The sequence below is a fragment of the Homo sapiens genome, chromosome 6 (genome assembly GCF_000001405.40).
Source record: "Homo sapiens chromosome 6, GRCh38.p14 Primary Assembly".
NCBI classification, from domain to species: Eukaryota; Metazoa; Chordata; class Mammalia; order Primates; family Hominidae; genus Homo; species Homo sapiens.
The window spans coordinates 121,822,119-121,844,171 of NC_000006.12; the positions used below are offsets into that span (position 1 = coordinate 121,822,119).

Sequence of the window (22,053 nt, forward strand, 5' to 3'; positions counted from 1 at the left end):
GAAAATTTGGTGGATGGGAGTGTGTCTGGGAGTGCTGATTGGTCAGGTCAGAGATGAAATCATAGGGAGTCAAAGCTGTTTTCTTGTGCTGAGTGAGTTTCTGGGTGGGAGCCACAAGATCAGATGAGCCAATGTATTGATTTGGGTGGTGTCAGCTGATCCATCAAGTGCAGAGTCTGCATCGTACCTCAAGCAGCTTAGGAGCAGTTTAGAGAGGGTCAGAATCCTGTAGCCTCCAGCTGCATGACTCCTAAACCATAATTTCTAATCTTGTGGCTAATTTATTAGTCCTACAAAAGCAGTCTAGTCCCCAGGCAAGAAGGAAATTTGTTTTGGGAAAGGGCTGTTACTGTTTTTGTTTTAAACTATAAACTAAGTTCCTAACAAAGTTAGTTCACCCTACACCCAGGAATGAACAAGGACAGTTTGGAGGTTAGAAGCAAGATGCAGTGGGTTAGTTCAGATCTTTTTTCACTGTGTAGTTACAATTTTGCAATCATGGTTTCAAGTTGACTGCAGATGCTAACCATATCAAGAAAATACCTTCACAGCAACACCTATAGTAGTGTTTGAATAACTGGCTACTCTAGCCTAGCCAAGATGACACATAAAACCAGCCATCAAACAAAGTATACATTTAAAATTAGCCATGTAGATTTCTTTCTATTAGTCATAGGAATTATAAATTCCCAAAATGAGATTAGCATAATAAATGCTTCTATAAGTTCCCCAAATGAGATTAGCATAAGTAAATGCTTCTTCAAAGAAGTCAACCACACATTAATATTTTTGTTGTTCAATAACTGAAAAAAAATTTTTTTAATTAGTGAACTGGTTTAAGTCTTAGCACCATATCTGAAAAGACTTCTTGTGTCTCAGAAAATTTCCAACTTTTGACACTAAACTCCTTCCCTTTCTGGAAATAAAATGAGCAAGTGTCTCTTGCACATAATCTGAGTGAGAAGAAAGTTAAAAGTTGCATAGTCCCTAAAGCACCCATGATTTTTTTCTTTTTATCTGCTGTGAATTATTCACTGGTAGAAAGCTTTGGTTTAATTTTAATCACAAACAGCTGTTTCAGGCAGATGCTCAGGGTTCAAAGACATTATGTACACAATTATAAAAATGTTCATTTTTAGAAAAGAGTGAAATAACATAGGTATAGGATGCCTAGGGTTTCAAATTACATCCTTTTATTTTATTTAAGAATCTATCTACCTAAAATAATTCCTCCCAGCAGCTAAGAAAACAACTCTGTTATTTCTGAAGGCCTGGAAAAGCCAGTGTCAGGTACCCCGGAGAGGCTGACTTTTGTCTTCTCTCCAGATATGCAAATTGTTTATCTCAGAGCAGGGATATTTACACAACCTCCAAACAAATGCTGCTTATCTTTACCATTAGCTCTCTTAACAAGAATCACCCATAGGGGCTGACTCAATTACATCTTTCAAAGTAAATTCTTGGCTACTCGCCCTTCCAATAGGCTGCCAAAAGATACTAGAAGGAATTTCTACCTTCTGCTAACATTTCTGAACCACTTAAAATCCAGCTGAGAATTCCAAGCACTTGCCCTCCTGGGATGTGAATGTTTGTCCTCCTGAGATGTGAATGTTTGTCCTGCCTAGCAGATGTGTTGTCACTTAGCTTCTATCATTTATTATGGCCTGATGGATTTGGTTATTTCTGAAAAGGTGACTCAACACTTAAGTAACACAAGTAGAAAGGCAATATTTTTGCAATAGATTCTGTGCTTAAATTTAAATAAGTTCAGATATGCATTATACAGTTTTGGTAAGCCAATAAACATTGGAACTTCTTTAATAATCTATTTTAGAAAAAAGTTAGTTCAACATTCTGGATGGGAAATAAAGCTACTTATATTCTTCCAAAATGTTATATTAATGACCATTGATAAATGACCCATGGCAAGGTCCTAGGCTGGGTGCTGCCACTGATGAGGTCTTAAAGAAGATATTTACTTCTCTGGGCCTCAATTTCTTTGTCTGCAAAATGGAGGTGAGGCTAAATCAGCAGCTCCCAGACTTGTGATACTAGTGGATTAGTAAAATTAAAAGCAATTGACATAGAATGGATAACCTTTGTAAATTGTGCCAAATAAGAGCATTTTAAAATGCAAACTTCTACCACTGTTATCCTCATCATTTTATTAAGGAAGGATTTTGAATACTCAAAAGTAGAACAGTGTAATCTCAGAATAATACCAGCCTTTTAAATGAAATAAATTTAGATTTAAAAAACGACTACATTGTCCTCATTTATCTTATTTATCTACAGACTTGTAAAAAATTAATAAAAACTGAGTACTTATCCTCCAGCAGTGTTTTGAAATCACAGGTTACAATGATCTCCACGATTTACTTTCTTTCTCACTCATAGCCCAAAATGCTAAATTGGATATTATAATCTTAGAATCTCATTGGTTACTTCTTTGTTTATTTTTTATTTATTTTCAATCCTTTTTCCACCACAGACACTCTTACTTACCTAAATTTCTATGTTAAGGGCATATTTATATTTCTACAGGTAAATCTACAGGTTTATAATAAGTCACTTATTTTCTTTATGTAATTGTATAAGTGCTAAATGATAATAGTTATCTACTGTTTTAGACCTTTATCATGTCATTATTGAGTGTATAAAATATAAGAAACATACTTCAAGAAGGACAGATGAGATTCTCTTCTGTAAATGTTGTGTCAGACATTGGAGAATGGCCTAACTTGTTTTCCCATATAGAGCTTTATTTCACAAATCTATCTGATTTCTGGAGAAATTATTTGCTCTTTCTAAAACCATGTTACAGGCAAATAAAATCTAGTTTTAACACTTTTTTGAAATTAAGTTTTAGAGAAAAAATTTTTCACACTTCTTTGCCATCTTAAAAGAACAATGTGCGAACTTTAACTTTTTTTTTTTTTGATAACTAAGATCATGGCTATAAATGCCAAATACTGTGACTCTGGGCTTCACTAAGGTGAGCAGTGTGGTTTGTTCCTCTACTGAATGCCCTTACATGACTATACTATGCTACTATAATGAACATTCTATGTACTAGAAACTGTATTATTTTGCAAGCATTATCTCATGAGATCTTTAAAATAAACATATTAGGACATGGACATCTTTGAGGTTCATGATTCTGCCTATCACAGTTACCCAGTTTTTTTTAATAAGGAGACCAGGTGAAATAATTTGCATAAACAAGAAGGTAGAAGAGTCAGACCTGAAAACAGACTTTCCATTCTTAGAGCCCATCTTACTGACTACTAATTTTTCCCACAATTTTTATGGCTCTGTCTCTTCCCTCAATAATTTCTGTCTCATTCATTTCCTATTATTTTAACAATACCATGTCTATGTACATACAAGTAATTTATAGCTTGTGATGCATAGCTAGCCCCACACCAGAAAATCAAGGCTATTAGAATTAATGTTGAAATAAGGAAAAGGCTTTGAATCCTGGTAGGTTTCTCTGCAAATATAGTTTATTATTTGAATACTTGATTTCATGACATTGTATGTGTCTTCTTACAGACCTTCTTGCTTATTTTCAGATTCTCTTTCATTTGAGAACACCACACCCTTGATATGAAGCACTAAGTGATGTGGTACTGCATATGATATAAATTTAGTACCTATGTTATCTGCTTTATTGTCTATTGTTTTATGTATCTTCTGTTTATCTAACCATAGTCTATAGCTATATTGCACTATATTATTTCTCCCATAAAGTGAAAGAGTATCAACTCCTTAGTAAGGTCCTTCCATTTCTTTCCTTATTCCTGCATGACATCAACATTTAACTTGTGGTATTCCCATACAAAAAGCAATGATAATCATGATAACTTAAAGCCATACTATATTTTAAAATTCAACCTTAGTTAATAATGACAGACATCGTGTTTTTTTGAAAAGAGATTCTGAGATGAAAATTTACCTGCAGATGGTTTACTAGTGAGTGCTCTTTGTAACAGCACTTTGAAGAGTGAGAGCAGTTTAAGCACAGAGAGTAGTTAAATTGAATGCAGTTGTCATGAGGCTTCAGCCAATACCACAGAAAGCTCTCAAAGTGAGATTGCATTTCAGAGATGCTCCAAATTGAGGCAGGAGGACTGGGTCTTTGCACTCCTGCCTTACGTAGTTATTGGATGAAGGCTTTCCTTGGAAGAAGGCACAGTCTTGAGTAGGACTCAGCTGAGAGCCATCAGCAGGCTACACTACCAACAGATGTGGGAACGACTGCCTTGACCCTTAAAGGGGACATGGCTCCCAGGGCATAGGTTTTGATAGACAAGAGCAATACTTTTAAAAGAAAGAGGGAAGCAAGACGGATACCCAATATATGATGCAGTTTCTACAGAAGTTCCCAGACAATTCGAATTGAGGTAAGGGAATTTATGCCTTTATTGTTCAGTCAGTATCTAACAATCACTGGAAGTGAGCAACATCACTTTGGGTGAGTCAGCTCCCTTGAGTAGTTCACAATGCCTAGAAAAAGACTCAGTTGTGAGTCATCAGTAGGCAATGATCTTACTAGCTAAGGTAAGATCATTTTTGTCTGGAATAAGAACTCATGCTTACTGACCCAATGATATCTTTCAAGGTAAATTCTTGGCTATCTGCCCTTTCAGTAGACTACCCAAAAATATTAGAAAGAGCTTCTAACTTCTGTAACCACATTATCCATTACAAATAAATATTGATTTATAGTCTAGAAATACTTAAACCTATTATCTTCTTCAGATTCAGTCATTTATTTATCTTGCATTCAGCAAATATTCTTAAAATAACTAACGAGTACTCATTAAGCATTGGGCTGGGTGATGGGAAATAGCAGTATATGTTACACCAAGACACAAAGACAAAATGAGGTCCTTCCTTCGCGGAAATTACATTTTTATAAGGAAAGCAGGCAATGAACTGCTATTAATTCACTTAGTTAATATTTTTATTAAGCCTCTATTATTTTAAAGATGCTTCTCTAAATTCTAGATACATCACAATGAATAAGACAGTGTGTCTGTACTCTCAAAGATCCAATGTATTAGTGGGAGAGATGGAAATTATAAGTGACCAAGTAAAAGAATATAACACTTCCAAATAGTGATAAGTGCTATGGAGAAAACAACAATCAGTTGTAATGTAAAAATGCTATATAATGCTAATGTAATGTAAAAATGCTATGGAGAAAATAACAAACAGTAATGTGATGGGAAATCAAAGGGATAGAGGATAGTTCAAGAAAGGAATGGCTAAGCAGGTGACACTTGAGATGAAACTTGAATGATGAGACCAAGCCTGCCATGTAAAGGCCAGAGGGAAATGTGCTCAAGCATAGGTGACAAGTGAATGTCCTGAGGGAAACAGGAAAACAGCTGACAGATGTATGGTTGGGCAGAGTGAGGAGAGGGGGTAGATGGTGATGTTAGTAGGCAGCCCTTGTAGGCCATGGGAAAAGTTTGACTCTTTTTCTAAGCGTTGGGAAACTACTGGAGGATTTTAAGTAGGTACAGACTAAACCTGACAAGTTTCGGGAAAAGGTTTTAATGAATACAATGAAAAAATCAGATATGCGAGGATGCATGTGGACGCAGGTGCTCCTGTCAGAGGGATACTGCAGTAGCCTAGTTAGCAATGTTGGTGATGGGATGGCATAATAACGTTAGAGATGGAAATCAATGAACGTTTATGGAATAATTTTGGAGACAGAGGTGACTGGCTGATAGGCTGAGCACAGGGGGGAAAGAGAGGAATCAAGGATGATTCTATTTTCACTTGAGCCTACAACAGACAAATAAAAAAATGGGATAATAATAGAAGTGGTAAGTACTCTGAGGATGATGTGGTAGGGGGTGATGGGAGCAATATTACTCCACCTGGAGATAGTGTGGTCACAGAAGGATTTTTGTGAAGGTTGCATTTAAGCAGAGATCTGTGGCATGAGAAGGAGCTGGTCATTGAAAAATCTGAGGTTGGAGTGAACAGTTGAAAGGGAAAAGTCCTGACACCAGGACAAGGAATTGGAATCAACAGTAGCCTATTATAACTGGAGCACAGTGAGAGAGGGGAAATATGCTGGGATACGGTTGCAAAGCAAAGCAAGAACCATAAAATAACTACTTAGGACTTTGTTCCTAAACCTGTATTTAAATCAGTAAATTCATTGATTAGATAAAAAGCTCTGAGTGGAAACTGGAAGACGACCAGCATGGCTGGGGACTCAGTGAAGTTCTCAGAACTCCCAGTATTTGGCAGAGCTGATTTGTTTTAACACTTCTTATTTCCTAGGGCCACTTAGAGATCTTTTACTTGTGCTTAAAGATTCCATATGACCGAGTAAATAAAAAGTTCATTTGTGGCTTTTAGTTGTAAACTTAGAATTAATTTTTGGCAGATTTACTAACAATAATAATATAGAACACATGTAATGTTCAAAATACTTTCCATTTTCAACATTTTTTGTAAGACAATGCAAACGTTATTATCCTCATTTTATCAATGAGCTAAAGTGAGTCATGATGTAGTTTAGTGGACTTGGCCAAAATAAATTCCTAATTAATGGAGGAATTAGGATTAGAATCCAGGTCCTTTGTTTCTTAGTCCAGATTCCCTGCTGACACACCCTTTTTTCTCTGTAAATGATGAATCATCACAAAAATAATGTTTAGCAGAACACAATTTTGGACTCTTACTTGGTGTGAGCAAGACTACACAGAGAAGTTGCCGAAAACAGCTTTCTGCACAGCAGGGAATGCTTGAAGACAAAATGGGGAGGAAGAAGCAAACAGGAAAACTCACCAGAAAGTTAAAGGAGAATATTGTTTAAGCCTTTTTCTTCTACTTTTATTTCTAGTCTTTCCGTTTCCTGGAAAATGCCCGTTTTTCTAAGATTGAGAAAAAAAATTAAAATACTGGTCTCTCGCATACCTACTTTCCAACTAGGAAGTTGGTTCTTACACTATTTCTTTCTTTTTATAGTACTTCTTTCCATTTTAACCATATAGGGTGACTATAGATGTGTGTGTGTGTGTGTGTCTGTGTGTGTGTGTGTGTGTGTGTGTGTGTGTGTGTGTACCACTTAGGTTTTAAGTATCTGGAGGGCAGAAATGTATCATTTAGGCATTTGGTTCATGTTACAGTACATTGTGTGAATACTTGACAAGAGTTTTACCTGGCTAGGTGATTGAGCTTTTTTCTTTTAGGTAAGCAATTATAAAAGGACAGTTATTACTTATCATTGTTTCATTACCTAATAAGTGCCTATCCAAAGAATATAGGCATCCTATCTGAAGGTGGGTCTCAATGTGTTCGAATGGGTGCATGTTTAAGTGGGCTGGAGAACTCACATTGATCATAGGCTATGGCTGACTTGACAAAAAGGAGTATAGACCAAAGGCATGTGCCCAAAATAAAACTTCTTGTGAAATTATTCTTTAAAAAGCATTAGCTGGAAATTTGGTTGAATAAGTCTGCAATAACGGCATTAGATCTTTTTGTATTAACTGGCCCTTCAGTAGTAAATGTGTAAGACCCTTACTTTAAATTTATCCAGTGTCTTGAAAATGCATTATTGGGTTCATATAGAAAAACAACTTGACTTTTCTCAATAGTCTGTTTAAGTATATATAGATTCTTCTGTAGTATGAACTTTTGGGGCATATGTGGATAATTGTGAGATTCTCTTATGTTTTTAGTTTTTCCATCTGAAACAGAAAACCACAATCCTTCTTCACCTTGTCAGTCAGTTAACTGCTACAATTAGATGAGCGAACCTAAAATCAATAATGGAAAAAAAAGAGATTACTCAGAAGATTTATTATCATAGGTAGAAAAGTTAGATGTGTCTTTACATTATTATTTTTACTTTAACAGTTTAAAATATTAATGATAACAGCATTATTAAGTAGTATGGGGCTATTTATTTTAACTATAGTTTAAAATATTAATGATAATAATATTATTAAGTAGTATGGGGCTACTTATTTTTAACTATCTCTTTGATGTGGTTGAAACAAACTCTAAGATGAAAGTAATTTCTTTGTTCTCCTCCCCAAACTTTCCCATTTGATCACAGCTACTTACCTGAAACTCACTTACGGTTCCTATTGACAGTCCTGAAAAGATATGTTTGAAAATGTCTTCTTTGAGCAGTCCAAAGTTTCACATGCTGTATACCTCTGTGCTCTCTCTTTCTCTCTATTTAATGAGTGTTAAAAATCACAATTAATGTTTTGGTTGTTTCAAGACCATGAAAAATATTCATCTATTAAGATGAACATTTTTCAGATACAGGTTCTTATCAAAGAGAAATAACATTTTTTTAAAGCTGAAAAATTGAATATAGATATATTGAGTAACAAGAAAGAAGCAAACACTTCTTTGCTTACCTCTCTCTGTTACATCATGTGAGCATTATACATGCACTTGTACTACTTTACCCTTCCCTGCTTTGAAAATTAAAATAGTTTGCATAAATCATTTTTGGCAAATAACTACCATAAAATATACTTTATATAAAGTATGAGCTTCAATACACTGTGGTGACACTCCAGGAAACACTTTGGAACCTCTCTAAGAAGATTTTCAGAAGTTGAGAGGGATTTGTTTCAGGCATGACATAAAATATAAAAATTGAATTTCTTGCACAAACTTAAAACCAAAACATCATATAACCTCTCTGTGTTTTGGACCTATCATGTCTGTCTATTTGGATAAAAACTATTGGATGCACATTTTTTGGTGAGCTGTCAACAGTGAAGCATGAAAACAGATGTGTTTCTGCTATTTTCATTATTAGGGAAATAAAAGCAGCTGTGCTGGGCTGGTGTGCGAAGGAGGCTCTCAGTGAGGCCTTCACACTCAAGAAGCTGGAAAACCTGGCAGTGTGGACCACTGGGGAGAAATTCTGGGCATTGCTGAGGATTTCATTCCTTTCTGGAGTTGTTGGTTGTTTTTCTGATATCAAAGCTCTATGTGAGAATATATGCTAAAGCTAGATAAAGTCATTATGGCTTTAATTTGCATATGGCAATATGAAAGACTATTTTAGAACTGCACTTTTTCGGAATCTGAGACTCTGTCACTTTAACAAGTGAATGTTGCTTATTATATTTGTGTTGGGGGATGGTCAGTGAGAGGTACAAACTGATGAAACTGCTTTGATATAGTTCTGCTAAGACTATCTAGACAAAGAGGACCAAATATGTGTTTTCTAGACACAATACACACAATGGGGAAAAAAATCCAGCGTATTTGGTGAAAGAAAAATAAATCAAAGTATAAAAACAGTCTTCTTTTATGCAATTACAGAACTGACAATAACCAGATGCTAGGGTTTTTTTTTTTTTTTTTTTTTTTTTTTTTTTTTTTGCATCAAATTGGTCTTCTTTGTGCGGAGGGGCTATTTTGGGTCCAGTTTGGAAAATCTGTCACAGAAGTTTACTTGTCTCAAGCTTTTGCTTCCTTCTGTAGGTGTCTGGTGTTTGTGTTTGTATGTGGAAAGAGGAATGGGGAGGAGGATTTTGTGTGTGCATCTGCATGTGTGTGCGTAAGGCTACTTATATATGTGCGTATTAGGTCCATTTTCATGCTGCTAATAACAACATACCTGACATTGGGTAATTTATAAAAGAAAGAGGTTTAATTGATTCACACTTCTTCATGGCTGGGGAGATCTCGGGAAACTTGCAATCACGGTGGAAGGGGAAGCAAACATATCCTTCTTCACATGGCCGCAGCAAGAAGAAGTGCCGAGCAAAAGGGGAAAATCCCCTTATAAAACCATCAGATCTCATGAGAACTCACTCACTATCATGAGAACAGCATGAGGGTAACTGCCCCCATGATTCAATTACCTCCCATCACGTCCCTCCCAAGACACGTGGGGATTATGGAAACTACAATTCAAGATGAGATTTGGGTGGGGACACAGCCAAACAATATCAATGTGGCTACGTGCTTTTCCTGCCTTTACATAGAACAGAAGTTATCTCTTGGCAAAGAGAACAGAGACAAAATGAGAGAACAATGAAACTAGATTTCTCTATATTGATCTGAAGTTTGAACTGATGTTATACTAATGATCAGGATAAAAGATTAAAGCAAAGAGACTGATAAAAGGGAACAGTGACATATTTCACTCTATGCAAAATTATGTAAGTACTGCATTTATTTATAGTATCTTGAGAAATTTTCCCAAGGGGAGAAATGTAAATGGACTACAGATAATCAGAAAAAGTACTAAATTTAAGAGTGTAGGTTTTGCTTTAAAATATAGATACTATGGTTTCTTTAGGTAACTATGATAATAGCTCACCACTCTAGCCTTAATTTGTCAGAATCTGCAAGTGAGGTATAGCTACAGGTGTTTCTAATGAGAAATGAAATTCTGTGGTGTCTTTGTATTCATTCTTACAAACAGCTTGTGTGCAATAATCTACTAAATTTGATTTACTCTTCCTCTTTTTTTTTTTTTTTTTTTTTTTTGATACAGGGTGTCACACATTTGTCCAGGCTGGAGTGCAGTGGCGTGAACGTGGTTCACTGCAGTCTCTAACTCCTGGGCTCAAGGGATCCTCCTGCCTCAGTCTCTTGAGTAGCTACAGTAGTTCACCACTGCACCTAGATAATTATAATTTTTTTTTTTTTTGTAAAGACAGGGTCTCCATATATTTCCCAGGCTGGTTTCAAACTTCTGTCCTCAAGCAATCGATTCTCCCACCTCAACCTCTCAAAGTGCTGGGATTATATGTGTGAGCCACCGCACTGGGCCATAAATTTTAAAAGGCTGTTTATGAAGCAATTTTAAGAGGAGAGTAAAGAAGAAGACCAAATTTAGGTATGGATTTCAAAAAGCCTTGGCAAGATCTCTAAAACTTTTGCCCACACAAGCAATTGTAGAGAGCTACTCAGAGTCTTTCTTTCCCAGGTGAATATTTCTGATGCTACAAATTTAGCTCAAATATTAATTTTTATTTTCATAACATTCCCATTCTCTCCTCTTTCAGTCTCTCTCTCTCTCTTTTCCCTATTATATCTGTCTTTAAATTTATATTACTACTAGCTTATACTCGACCAAGCTTAGAACAACCCAGTGTGAGAAAATGGTTTAAACATCACAGTTATGGAATGGTTATTAGGAATGCTGGTTCAAACATGCTGCTTATCTGATCAACTCTCAATGAAGGGCTTTTTAAAATTTTAACACAAATTTTGTAGCATTCTATTGATTCATATTTTGATTCTCAAAAATAACTATTTCCAGGTTGTCCCTACTGAGTATTTTGGACTCGTATATTGAATGGAAACTCAGGGAACACCACCTGTAAGAGCAGGAGGTAAAGGCAGATGCGAGGGAGGGAGGGAAAGTAGCAGCCTCAGGTTCTCCATTCTCCAGGGAGAAACTCCAGAGATACAAATGCCCACCAAACCCACAGCAAGGCCTTCTGGGAGTAACTTCTAAGTTTTTGTCTCTCTCACTCTCTCATATTCCTACCTTCTCCTAGGACATTCACTTCCCTTTTCTTTGAAACCTATAATATTGGGATCGACCTAAACTTTGTATAGGTGTTCAAATCTATTGTAAAATTCACTGTTTGACCTATTGCAATATGGGCTCTTTCCCTTCCCCTCCAAGTAATTCTCTTACACCACTCCATTCTCCTCCTACTTCTCTGACTTCCCTTGGTTTCATGAGGGGCTTCTTTTTTTAATGTCTTCTAAACTTTTGATGATCTTGTTTTTTTTGTTTGTTTGTTTGTTTTTTGTTTGTTTGGTTTTTTTTCTTTCACATACTTTATCTGAAAGATGTCATTTTATTTCAGGGTATTATCTACGGCCTATTAAAGACTTCCACAATGGATTTTTCCAGTATAGACTTCTCCTGGGAAAAAAACATATTTATCTCCTTCGAATATCTATGCCTGAAATTCAGTCTCTTTCATCTCAACCTCCTCAATCAGTCTCCCTTCCCTGCTCCTTCTCCTGTGACCTTCTCTACAACCCTTTCTCTTATATCATTCACTGCTGAACTACTACCAAATCATGCAGATGTTATTTTAAAAATATTTCTTGATCCTGATATCACCTGAAGAAAATCAAAAGTTCTCCTCCTAGAATATGGCTTCCTGAGGGTAATGAGTGTTTTAAATTAAAAGCCCTTAGAGATCAACAGGCGTTGGAAGAGACTTTTCCCCCATCTACATAAAGATAGGACCCATCAAGGAGAACATTTCTTCTTGTTCCCCTCCCCACATTATCTTATTATCCATTATAGGAAAGAAGACCAAAAAAATATAACTACACCTGAACAGACCCTTTTTCAAGATAATGACTGTCTTCAAGGAACATTTAAATTCCAAAGAGAACTATTTTCACAAGTTAATTTCTGATCTCCGTCCAATCTTTTTCCCTAGTAATTATTTATTGTTCCTTAATAGAATTTCTCTTCCCTCTTTCCACAACCTGTTTTACCAGGCAGGGTCCAAGCTCCATTCTTTCTGTAACCTCAAGATGGTATATACGCTCATGTACCACATTTGGAAAGTTGGGTCTTCATTCTAAAGGCTCCCCTGTGCATATGTTAAATAAATTGTATGTCTTTTCTCCTATTAATCTGCCTTTTGCAAGCTGATTTTTTTCCAGAGAACCTTCTGAAGGCCAGTGGGAAAGTTGGACCCAACATACTTTTCTCATCGCTTCTTGCCTGGATTACTGTAGTAACCTTCTAGCTCGTCTCCCTGTCTCAAAATGTTTGTTACTGAAGCCCATGCCTCACACCACTATCAAAGTGGACCATCAAAAATCCATTTTGCTACCATCTGATTCAAACCATAAAATCGCTCTACTTGACCAAGTATATACATTTCCTACTAACTAGACACCTCTACATTTCAGTCCTCCTCCCCATCCCAGTTTGTTGCCAATGCTTCTTTTCGCACTTTATTTCTCTTACCTTCATGCCCTTGTTCCTGCTGTTTTCTCTGAATCATCCTTCCCTCTTATCTTCATCTAACTGTTGCTCACTCATTAATGTATCAACTCCTTCACAATGCCTTCCTGACTACTCTTCAGGACCGTCACCCTCCTGAAGGGGTAAGATTTCCTCCATGGTTTGGGGCCTCATGATCAAAACAACTGCTTCTGCACCTTAAACTGAAGCGATGATACAGAGTAGCACTGAATCGGTGTTAATAAGCAGGCAATAAGGCTATAGCCCCCAAGCCTCTATATTTTTCTAAAAAATTGGAAAACAGCCAAGTGGCAAAGGTTAAATTAAGGGAAGTGCATCTTCATTCAAGGCAAGTATTTTAAACAGCCTCTAGGTAGCATCTGTTATGTGAAGAAAGTTGAGGGTGGTGAGTAGGAGGGTGGGGACCGGGGTGGGCAGTGAGGTGTGAACAAGAGAGAAAATAGTAAATAAAAAGAAGGCGTGATTTCAGGTTTTAAAATTATGTCCAAAACTTTGGCTATGGTTACTCCCAAATAGAACTGAGTAAGAACGAAAACATGGAAACCTATTAAGCTTTTGAAGACTTTATGTTGTCAAAGAATCCACATGTTATGCTTACAAAGACTTCTAATTATTCAAATCCTAAATCAGACAATTCTGTAAGCCAGATTGCAAAGTTGGGCAGCCATCAAACATACATACTACTTTCAACATGTCCAGAGAGAATGAAAGATAGACTTGAAAGGTACTTCGCAGAGGCCAAAGCCATGAGGTCATGGAAAACAGAGTACTGGAGAGCTCCTCACAGAGAACAGCGTGCTGGAGAGCTTCTCACAGAGGTAAGAATCAGTGACAGTCAGACAGGCTCTATAAGAAACTTACTCTAAGGGAAGGAATCTTTGCAGTTCATATCCAACAGCCCTTGATAATCCCTGTGGACAGATGACTGACATTTCTCATTTTTTCCTATTTAAAACAGATATTATTACAGATCTCCTGGTCTTAATCCACCATTGTAAACTTAGTGTGTGTGTATTGGTAGAGGGGGCAGGGTGGTGGGGAACATATTTTCTTTCATTTCATAGGTTGCCAGGTGCTGAATGGGACTTAGAGAGGCTTTAATATATTCCTTATATGACACTTAGGTAAGCAAAAGAATGGATTGTGGGAAAGATGATTTTCTTCTTATCCATGGTAATGAAATCTTACCTTTTACAAGGCCATCCAAAATAAAGAGTACATGTGTAGCTTTTTTTGCAGCTGGTTGGTTGTGTTGATATGACTTTGTTCTGGCTTCTAGAACAAAAAGAGTATGTGCTTCTAGGTTTTTCTCTTAAAAGGATATCCTTCCCTTGCTCCCTTTTCCTTTCCCAGTTGTGGGAAAGTAAGGGCTGGGCATCATTTGCAAGATGGAAGCCACATATTGTGAAGGTTGGAGCACTGATGTAGATGGAGGATTTATTCTTGAGGCTTGTGGAACTATGATGCAAGCCAAATGACTTGTTTGGGGATTTGGGGACCTTCTTTATCCCATCATCAAACCAGTATCATAATTAATGTAAATTAAAGATAAAAAGTATCCAAATAGGCCAACATAATTAATTCAACTTTATTATTAAACCATGTGTTCATTTGAAGAGTTTTGTGATTTTTACTTTTTCAAAAGCAATTCCAAACTTTCTCCAGAATCTGCAATAGCAAAATCACACATGTATACACAGTTATTTTTCCTTTCACCCACCATCAATTTACTTGAGGGGTATAGTGAGATATAGACTGGAAGTAGGACACCATTGGTGGACAGATGAAAATGAGATAATCAGATTCCACCCTCTTTGGATGTGTATTTTTGGCTCCTTTGAATTCAAATGGCAGATACTTATATTGTTGCATGTTTTTGTTAAATATTAACTTATAGTGGCCCAAATCACCAAGAGTTGAATTGCAAATGAATACAAAAATGATGAAAAGTGAACTTAATTCGAGAAATTTAGGGAAGGGATAGGAGTAAGTACATTTATGAGAGAGCTGAAACGTTGAAGGCCAGGGATTTCCTTGACTCTGGAAATAAGAGAAAATTCTAAAGGCCAATTCATTTGAGCCTGGTCAATATATTGCGAGGGAACTAGATAGTTCTCTTCTCTCTATCTGTGTCCTCTCCTTCCTTGGCTGGAGAGATTATCCTGGATTATCTGTGTGAGCTGTAAATGCCATCAAATTTTCCTTGTAAGACAGAGGCATGGCCGGGCATGGTGGCTCATGCCTGTAATACTAACACTTTGGGAGGCTGAGGCAGGTAGATCACCTGAGGTTAGGAGTTCAAGACCAGCCTGGCCAACATGGTGAAACCTCATCTCTGCTAAAAATACAAAAATTAGCTGGGCATGGTGGTGCTTCACTGTAATCCCAGCTACTCTGGAGGCTGAGGCAAGAGAATCTTTTGAACCCAGGAGGCAGAGGTTGTGGTGAGCCAAGATCATGCCATTGCACTCTAGCCTGGGCAAGAGTGAGACTCTATCTAAAAAAAAAAAAAGAGAGAGAGGAAGAGAGGCAGAGGGAGATTTGACACATAGGGAAGAGTATGTAAAGACAGCAGCAGAGATTGCAGGGATGCAGGCACAAGCCACGGAATGCCAATGAATGCTAGCAGCCACCAGAATCTAGAAAATGCAAGGAACAAGTTCTTCCTCAGAACCTCTATACAGAAGGTCGCCTTGCCCACATCTGATTTTGGTCGTCTGGCTTCCAGGACTGTGACAGAATACTTTTCTGTTGTTTTTAGCTACCAAGGCTGTAGTGAATTTTTTTTTTTTTACAGCAGCTTAAGGATATTAATACAGTGGGCAAGTTATAACTAGATAGCATACTTTGACTTGTCTTCTTTTAAATAATTGTATACCTCAAGGTTACTCACTAATTCATTCCATTTTCTCTGTAAGTAGAGTTCTTTTCTGTAATTGACTGTGGGTGCACATGTGTGTATATGTAGTCATGCTGACTTTGCCCTTTCAGTATTTAAGTAGACAGAGTGATTCTATGGCAATCTTTTCTACATGCCTCATTCTTTCTTGCTCTTTATGACTTCAGTTTTTCGAGCCTGTTTTTGTCAAAAAAATAAAGTTATAAGTAAGTTAATTACTTCAAGTAGTTTCATCTATTACCCCTGCTCTTTGCTGATACATGCAAATACAATTACTGCTTTGCCTGGTCTGGCAGTAGGATAGACATCTGATGGATGAAGTTCTTTATAAGGTATTTTACTTTTCTAAGCATTGCATAGGCTTTTCTTAGGGTCATATCCACGATGGATAGACTATATGTTTTCAAAAAGTGAACAGCTAAGATTTAGAAGTCAGCAAATTGGTCTATAGACAAGGTCAGTCAAAGTCTTTGCTGTATTAAGTCTATGCTCTACTGGGGAAGACGTACAAGAGAGGTATGGATAATATTTGACAAATGTTAAATTACTGTGTTTGTATCCCTCTCCCCCATAAACCATGTTTCATCACAGTGATTTTATTGGGGTTGCGCATGGAAAGGAGGTGTTGACAAATGCTTCAGGAAGAAGGAAGACACAGACATAGTGAAAGTCTATGTCACAAAGCAGGCAGACAGAACACTCCCTTCTTTCACTGGCTTATGGGCAGAAAAAGAGAAAGAAAACATAAGATATCATGAGAAGGAAAACAGTCAGACATGGGGTTTTGATGAAGGATGTGCCCTTTAAGGAAAATTAAGGCAACAAGGGTTTTGGCCCGGCCGCCCATTAGGTCTCTGGGAGGAGCCCATGAACGGAGTGGCCACACAAAATGAAATGGCCCACATCAGGTAAGTAGGTGGATTGGCATACACACACTGAGTCAGAGTTCTGTTTTTCCTCCTGAAACTCCCTTAGGTACTGTGTAATGTGAATGCTGAGTTGACAGCCCAGTCCCTGGCCAAGCCAAGCACACTCAACCACAAGCTCATCAGATATAGATGTCAGCAGCAGACACTAACAGAAAGCCCAAGGGTGGGACTGAGCCAACCACAGCTCACTGGATCCCAGCCAAGTACACAAACAAGGCAGCACAGGATGGTGGTTAAAGACATGGGTTATGGAGCAGTCTGCCTGGATACAATTCTTGTCTCTGTAGTAATTTTGCATAAATCATATTGCCTCTCTCTGCCTCAGTTTCTCCAACTGTAAATCTTAATAAAGGTTGGAATGCTCTTAGACTTATAATGGGATTATGGCCCAATAAGCCCATTGTAAATTGAAAATATCATAAGCTAAAAGTGCATTTAATAGGCCGCACACGGTGGCTTACACCTGTAATCCCAGCACTTTGGGAGGCCGAGGTTGGTGATCACCTGAGGTCAGGAGTTCTAGACTAGCTTGGCCAACATGGTGAAACCCCATCTCTACTGAAAATACAAAAATTAGCTGGGCATGGTGATGCATGCCTGTAATCCCAGCTACTCAGGAGGCTGAGGCGGGAGAATCACTTGAACCCTGAAGGCAGAGGTTGCAGTGAGCCAAGATGGCACCACTGTACTCCAGCCTGGGCAACAGAGAGACTCCGTCTCAAAAAAAAAAAAAAAAGTGCATTTAATATATCTAACCCACTGAACATTATAGCTTAGCCCAGACTTCCTTAATTAAATGTGCTCAGAACACTGACATTAGCCTATGGTTGGGCAAACTCATCTTACACAAAGCCTATTTTATAATGTGTTGAATATCCCATGTAATTTATTGAATACTGTAGTGAAAGTGAAAAACAGAATGGCTTTATGGGTACTCAAAGTAGGATTTCTACTGAATGTGTATTGCATTCACACCATCATAAAGTCAAGAAGCTTTAAGATAAATTATTGTAGGACAGGAACTGTCTGTGTTTACCTGACAGAGTTGTTGTGATGATTAAATTAAGCAATGCATGTAATCAACTTAGAACAATTCTGGGATTATAATAATCATTCATTAAACATGCTTGAGTTACCCAAGAACCAGCATGAGACCAGGAAATTCCCTTTCCATATTGCTGTGATGACACATAAATACTTCCCCTTTTCCAACTTGAGGAAAGCAAGGAGTTCAGAAGATACATGTAAAAGATGAAATAATTATTTCAAACAAATCTAGAGACGATTTAAACCCTTGGATTGAATTAAGTTTTAAAGTGAAATATACTACATAGAATTTCTTTTTCACTTTTCCTTGCTACTAGCTGGTGTGGTTGGGGACAGGCTCATGAGTAAGACCACGTTAGTTAATAGACTAAGAAAAAAATACTTCATTTTCTTTGCCTTTAATAAATTGTAGTATAGATTAAAGCCTGGTTCTGGGCCCAAGTAAATGAATGACCATTTTCTGATAGTAATGATTTGTGACAAAACTTCAGGTGAATAAAATCATGTATAATAACGGGTCAAAGCAGGAACTTTAGAGCCAGGGAAGAACTCCCTGAGAAGGTAACATTGGAGCTTAGACTTGAATTTGAGAAGGAGCCACACTGACTTATATTTGGAGGAAGAGCTTTTCAGATAGATGGAGTAGCAATGCAAAGGTCTGTTGGCCACAATGAATTGCTGTGTTTTCAGAACAGAGGGAGAGCCAATGTGCCCAGAATGATGGAGATGGAGGCATAGGCCATGGAAGTATTTCCAGGCTGTGGTAGGGAGTCTAGGTTTTATTCTAAAAGTAATGAGAAACCATATAATATTTTTAATCAAAGAGTAAGATGACAGATTTACATTTTTACAAGTCACTTATATGCATGGAATATGGATTCTAAAGGGAAATTAGTGGAAGAGATGTAGATTGTCCACTGTAGGTAATCCAGACAAGTGAACCTGGTTTGAACTAGGGTGATGGCAGTGCATATGGGAGAAAGTGGGTGGATACAGAATATATTTGAGTAGTGGAGACAACAGTTTGTGCTGATGCATTAGTTGTGAAGTTGAGAAATTAACAACTTCTTGAATTTTGGCCTTGGCATTGGTGGACAAAAATAAATACCCCTTACCGAGGTGAGAAAGAATGGTTTTTGGGGTTTGTGGCCACAAGACAGAACAGGCATCAAATATTCTGTTTTGAATGTATTTAATTTAAGGTGCTTAGTACATAGCCAAGTATAAACACCAAAAAAGTAAAAAGTATGAATAAATCTAGAGCTCTCAGTAAAATTCATGGCTTTAACATCTAAATTTAGGTGTCACCATCCGTATAGATAGATTTGGCATCATGGGACCATAAGCAATCATCTATTTGGAGAATGTAGATAAAGAAGAGGAGAGTGCTCAGATCTATTTAGGATAAAGCAAAACCAAAACACAACACGTAAAGAACAAAAATGTTTCTTCATCTGTCTTTTGTGTATCTGCCAATACAGTGGAAAAGTGCACGCAGGGTACAAGCTAAACTTGGAACACTGATTCTGACATGGTTGTGGGATTGGAGGAAGTTGAAGGAAAATGTTACCTTTCTGCTGTATGCATTCTGTATTGTTTGAAGACACATGGCTTCAAACATGGAAAGTATCATGACTAATACATGTATCTTATAGATAATTTAGAAGATAATACCAAGCCAAAAAATAAAAGAAACTTTATTCATAACCCCACCCTCAGAAGCAACTACTGCTAACATTTTAACATATAGCCTTCTGGGCTTTTTCTTGTACAAATGTATTTAGATATAGAACCTTAAGTATTTTATTTTTAGTATTTCACAAAAAAAGTTCTCCAGAGTTTGTGTTGTCAGTTTTCATTCTATCACAAGTTGATTTTTCTGAACTCCTAAGTTTTGATACCATTTATACTTCTGATCCAGAGTTTCATTCTGCTTATCCTACTTTTATATCCTTTGACTACTTGTAGTTCCATTTGTGTGCCCTCTCAGAAGCCCAGATTTAATGTATCACACTTGAAATGTATGTTTCCCCAATCTGCACATTCTGAATTTTCCAAACCAGAATTTTCAGGCAGGTTCTTATCCTTGACCTATTCCATTCTCTTACTTTCCATATCTAAAGAGTTAACATGTTCTATATCTTTTATACTCTGTACATCCTTTAAATCCAAATTTAGATATCCTTATTGCCACTGCTTACATTCAAGCTTTTAATGTTTTTATTGTTGTGACAGCTATTTAATTCTTTTGTTGCTGTGTTGTAATCTGATTTTTCTTAAAAAGTAAACCTGAGTATGTCACTCTCTCATCTAAAGCTTCTCAATGACAACCTACTGCCTTCAGGATAAAAGCTGAACTCCATAGTTTCACACAAGCCATTTCCTGATGGGGTTCCTCTGCCTTGGCTGCATTGTATCTTATCACCTTCCTTCTTGCATCTTTATCTCTAGTCACAGGGAGGCACCTGCAGTTTCCAGAATATAATCCAGCCTCCAATTTACCTACAGTTTCTGACAGACTCCCTGGAACCAAATAGTCGTTCAATACATGCTTATTGAATACAAAAATATAAGTTTAAGAAGGCCTCTAAAGCTTACAAGGTGGACATGAGAAGTAGCCGACTGTGTAGAGACGAAAAGTCCAAGTGAAAACATGAGCCGCAAATATCAAAAGGATTCAGAATCAGGAAGGATTATTTGAAACTATAGGGATGTAGTCTCCAGGGATTCATATTCGAATCCGGTGCTGTCCAATAGAAATATGATGTGAGTCACATAGCTAATTTTAAACTTCCTAGTAGCCACATTTTAAAAAATGAAAATAAACAAGTAAAAATAGCTTTATTAATATAATTAATATAGCCAATATATTGAAAATGTTTTCATTTCAACATGTAATTAATATTTAAAAATTAATATTAAAATCATTGAGATATGTTACTTTTTGAATACTAATCAAAATCTAGTACAGGTGTATATACATCACGTCATTACTTTTCTTTTTGAAGTTTTATTTATTTATTTATTTATTTAGAGACAGTCTCGCTCTGTCACCCAGACTGGAGTGCAGTGGTGTGATCTCGGTTCACTGCAACCTCCATCTCCTGGATTTAAGCGATTCTCCTGCCTCAGCCTCTTGAGTAGCTGGGATTACAGGCACATGCCACCACGCCCGGCTTATTTTTGTATTTTTAGTAGAGATGGGGTTTCACCATGTTGGTCAGGCTGGTCTCGAACTCCTGACTTTGTGATCTGCCTGCCTCAGCCTCTCAAAGTGCTGGGATTACAGGTGTAAGCCACCGTGCCTGGCTTAAAGTTTTTTTTTTAATCAACTTGATTAATAAAATAATTTTTCATTAAGTTGAAACAGTAAGATTTTTTGTTGTTGTTCTTTTTTTTTTTTTTTTTTTTGAGACAGGGTCTCACTGTGTCACCCAGGCTGGAGTGCAGTGGTGTGATCAAGGCTCACTGAAGCCTTGACCTCCCTAGGCTCAGTACTCCTCCCACCTCAGCCTCACAAGTGGCTGGTACTACAGGCGTGTGCCACTACACCTAGCTAATTTTTATATTTTTTGTAAAGATAGGGTTTCACCATGTTGCTGAGGCTGGCCTTGAACTGAGCTCAAACAATCCTCCCACCTCAGCCTCCCAAAGTGCTGGGATTACAGGCATGAGCCAGCATGCCCATCCTGGTATACAGTTCTGTAAATTTAACATATGTATAGAATCATGTAATCATCCATAAAAGAAGGATACAGAACAGCTGTATCACTCCAAAAAATTCTTTTTTAAAAATTGACATTTAATAATTGTACATATTTCTGGGATACATAGTGATGTTTTAATACATGCACTATATAGTAATCAGGTCAGGATAATTTGTATATCCATCTAAAACCTTCCTCATTTCTTTGTGTTGGGAGCATTCAATATCCTCCTTCTAGCTATTTGAAATTACATAATATATTATTGTTAACTATAGTCATCCTACAACTTACAGCACATAGTAATATACTCAATATATACAATATAATTAAGCCACATTCTCAATATAGAGTAGTCACATATATTGCTCATATGTACAATAGATAGTATACACATCATAATGCAGATTAGGGCTCCATAATCGCATGTGGCTAGTGACTACTGTATTCCTATAAAATCTTCTAATCTTCTACAGAGAAGAA

At 37.1% G+C, this 22,053-nt stretch overlaps 1 long non-coding RNA gene across 2 annotated transcripts in view, besides 1 other annotated feature; it reads left to right on the forward strand.

The window, feature by feature from the left end:
- LOC105377979 (uncharacterized) overlaps positions 1-22,053 on the forward strand; it is a 288,164-nt gene that overhangs the window by 54,740 nt on the left and 211,371 nt on the right. The window lies entirely within an intron of this gene.
- Positions 1,193-1,833: an enhancer, noted in NCBI's record as "OCT4-NANOG hESC enhancer chr6:122144457-122145097 (GRCh37/hg19 assembly coordinates)". NCBI's record gives its function as "activates a minimal SCP1, AML or CMV promoter by ChIP-STARR-seq in naive H9 embryonic stem cells {active_cell/tissue: H9 hESC(naive)}" and the evidence as "EXISTENCE:reporter gene assay evidence [ECO:0000049][PMID:30033119]".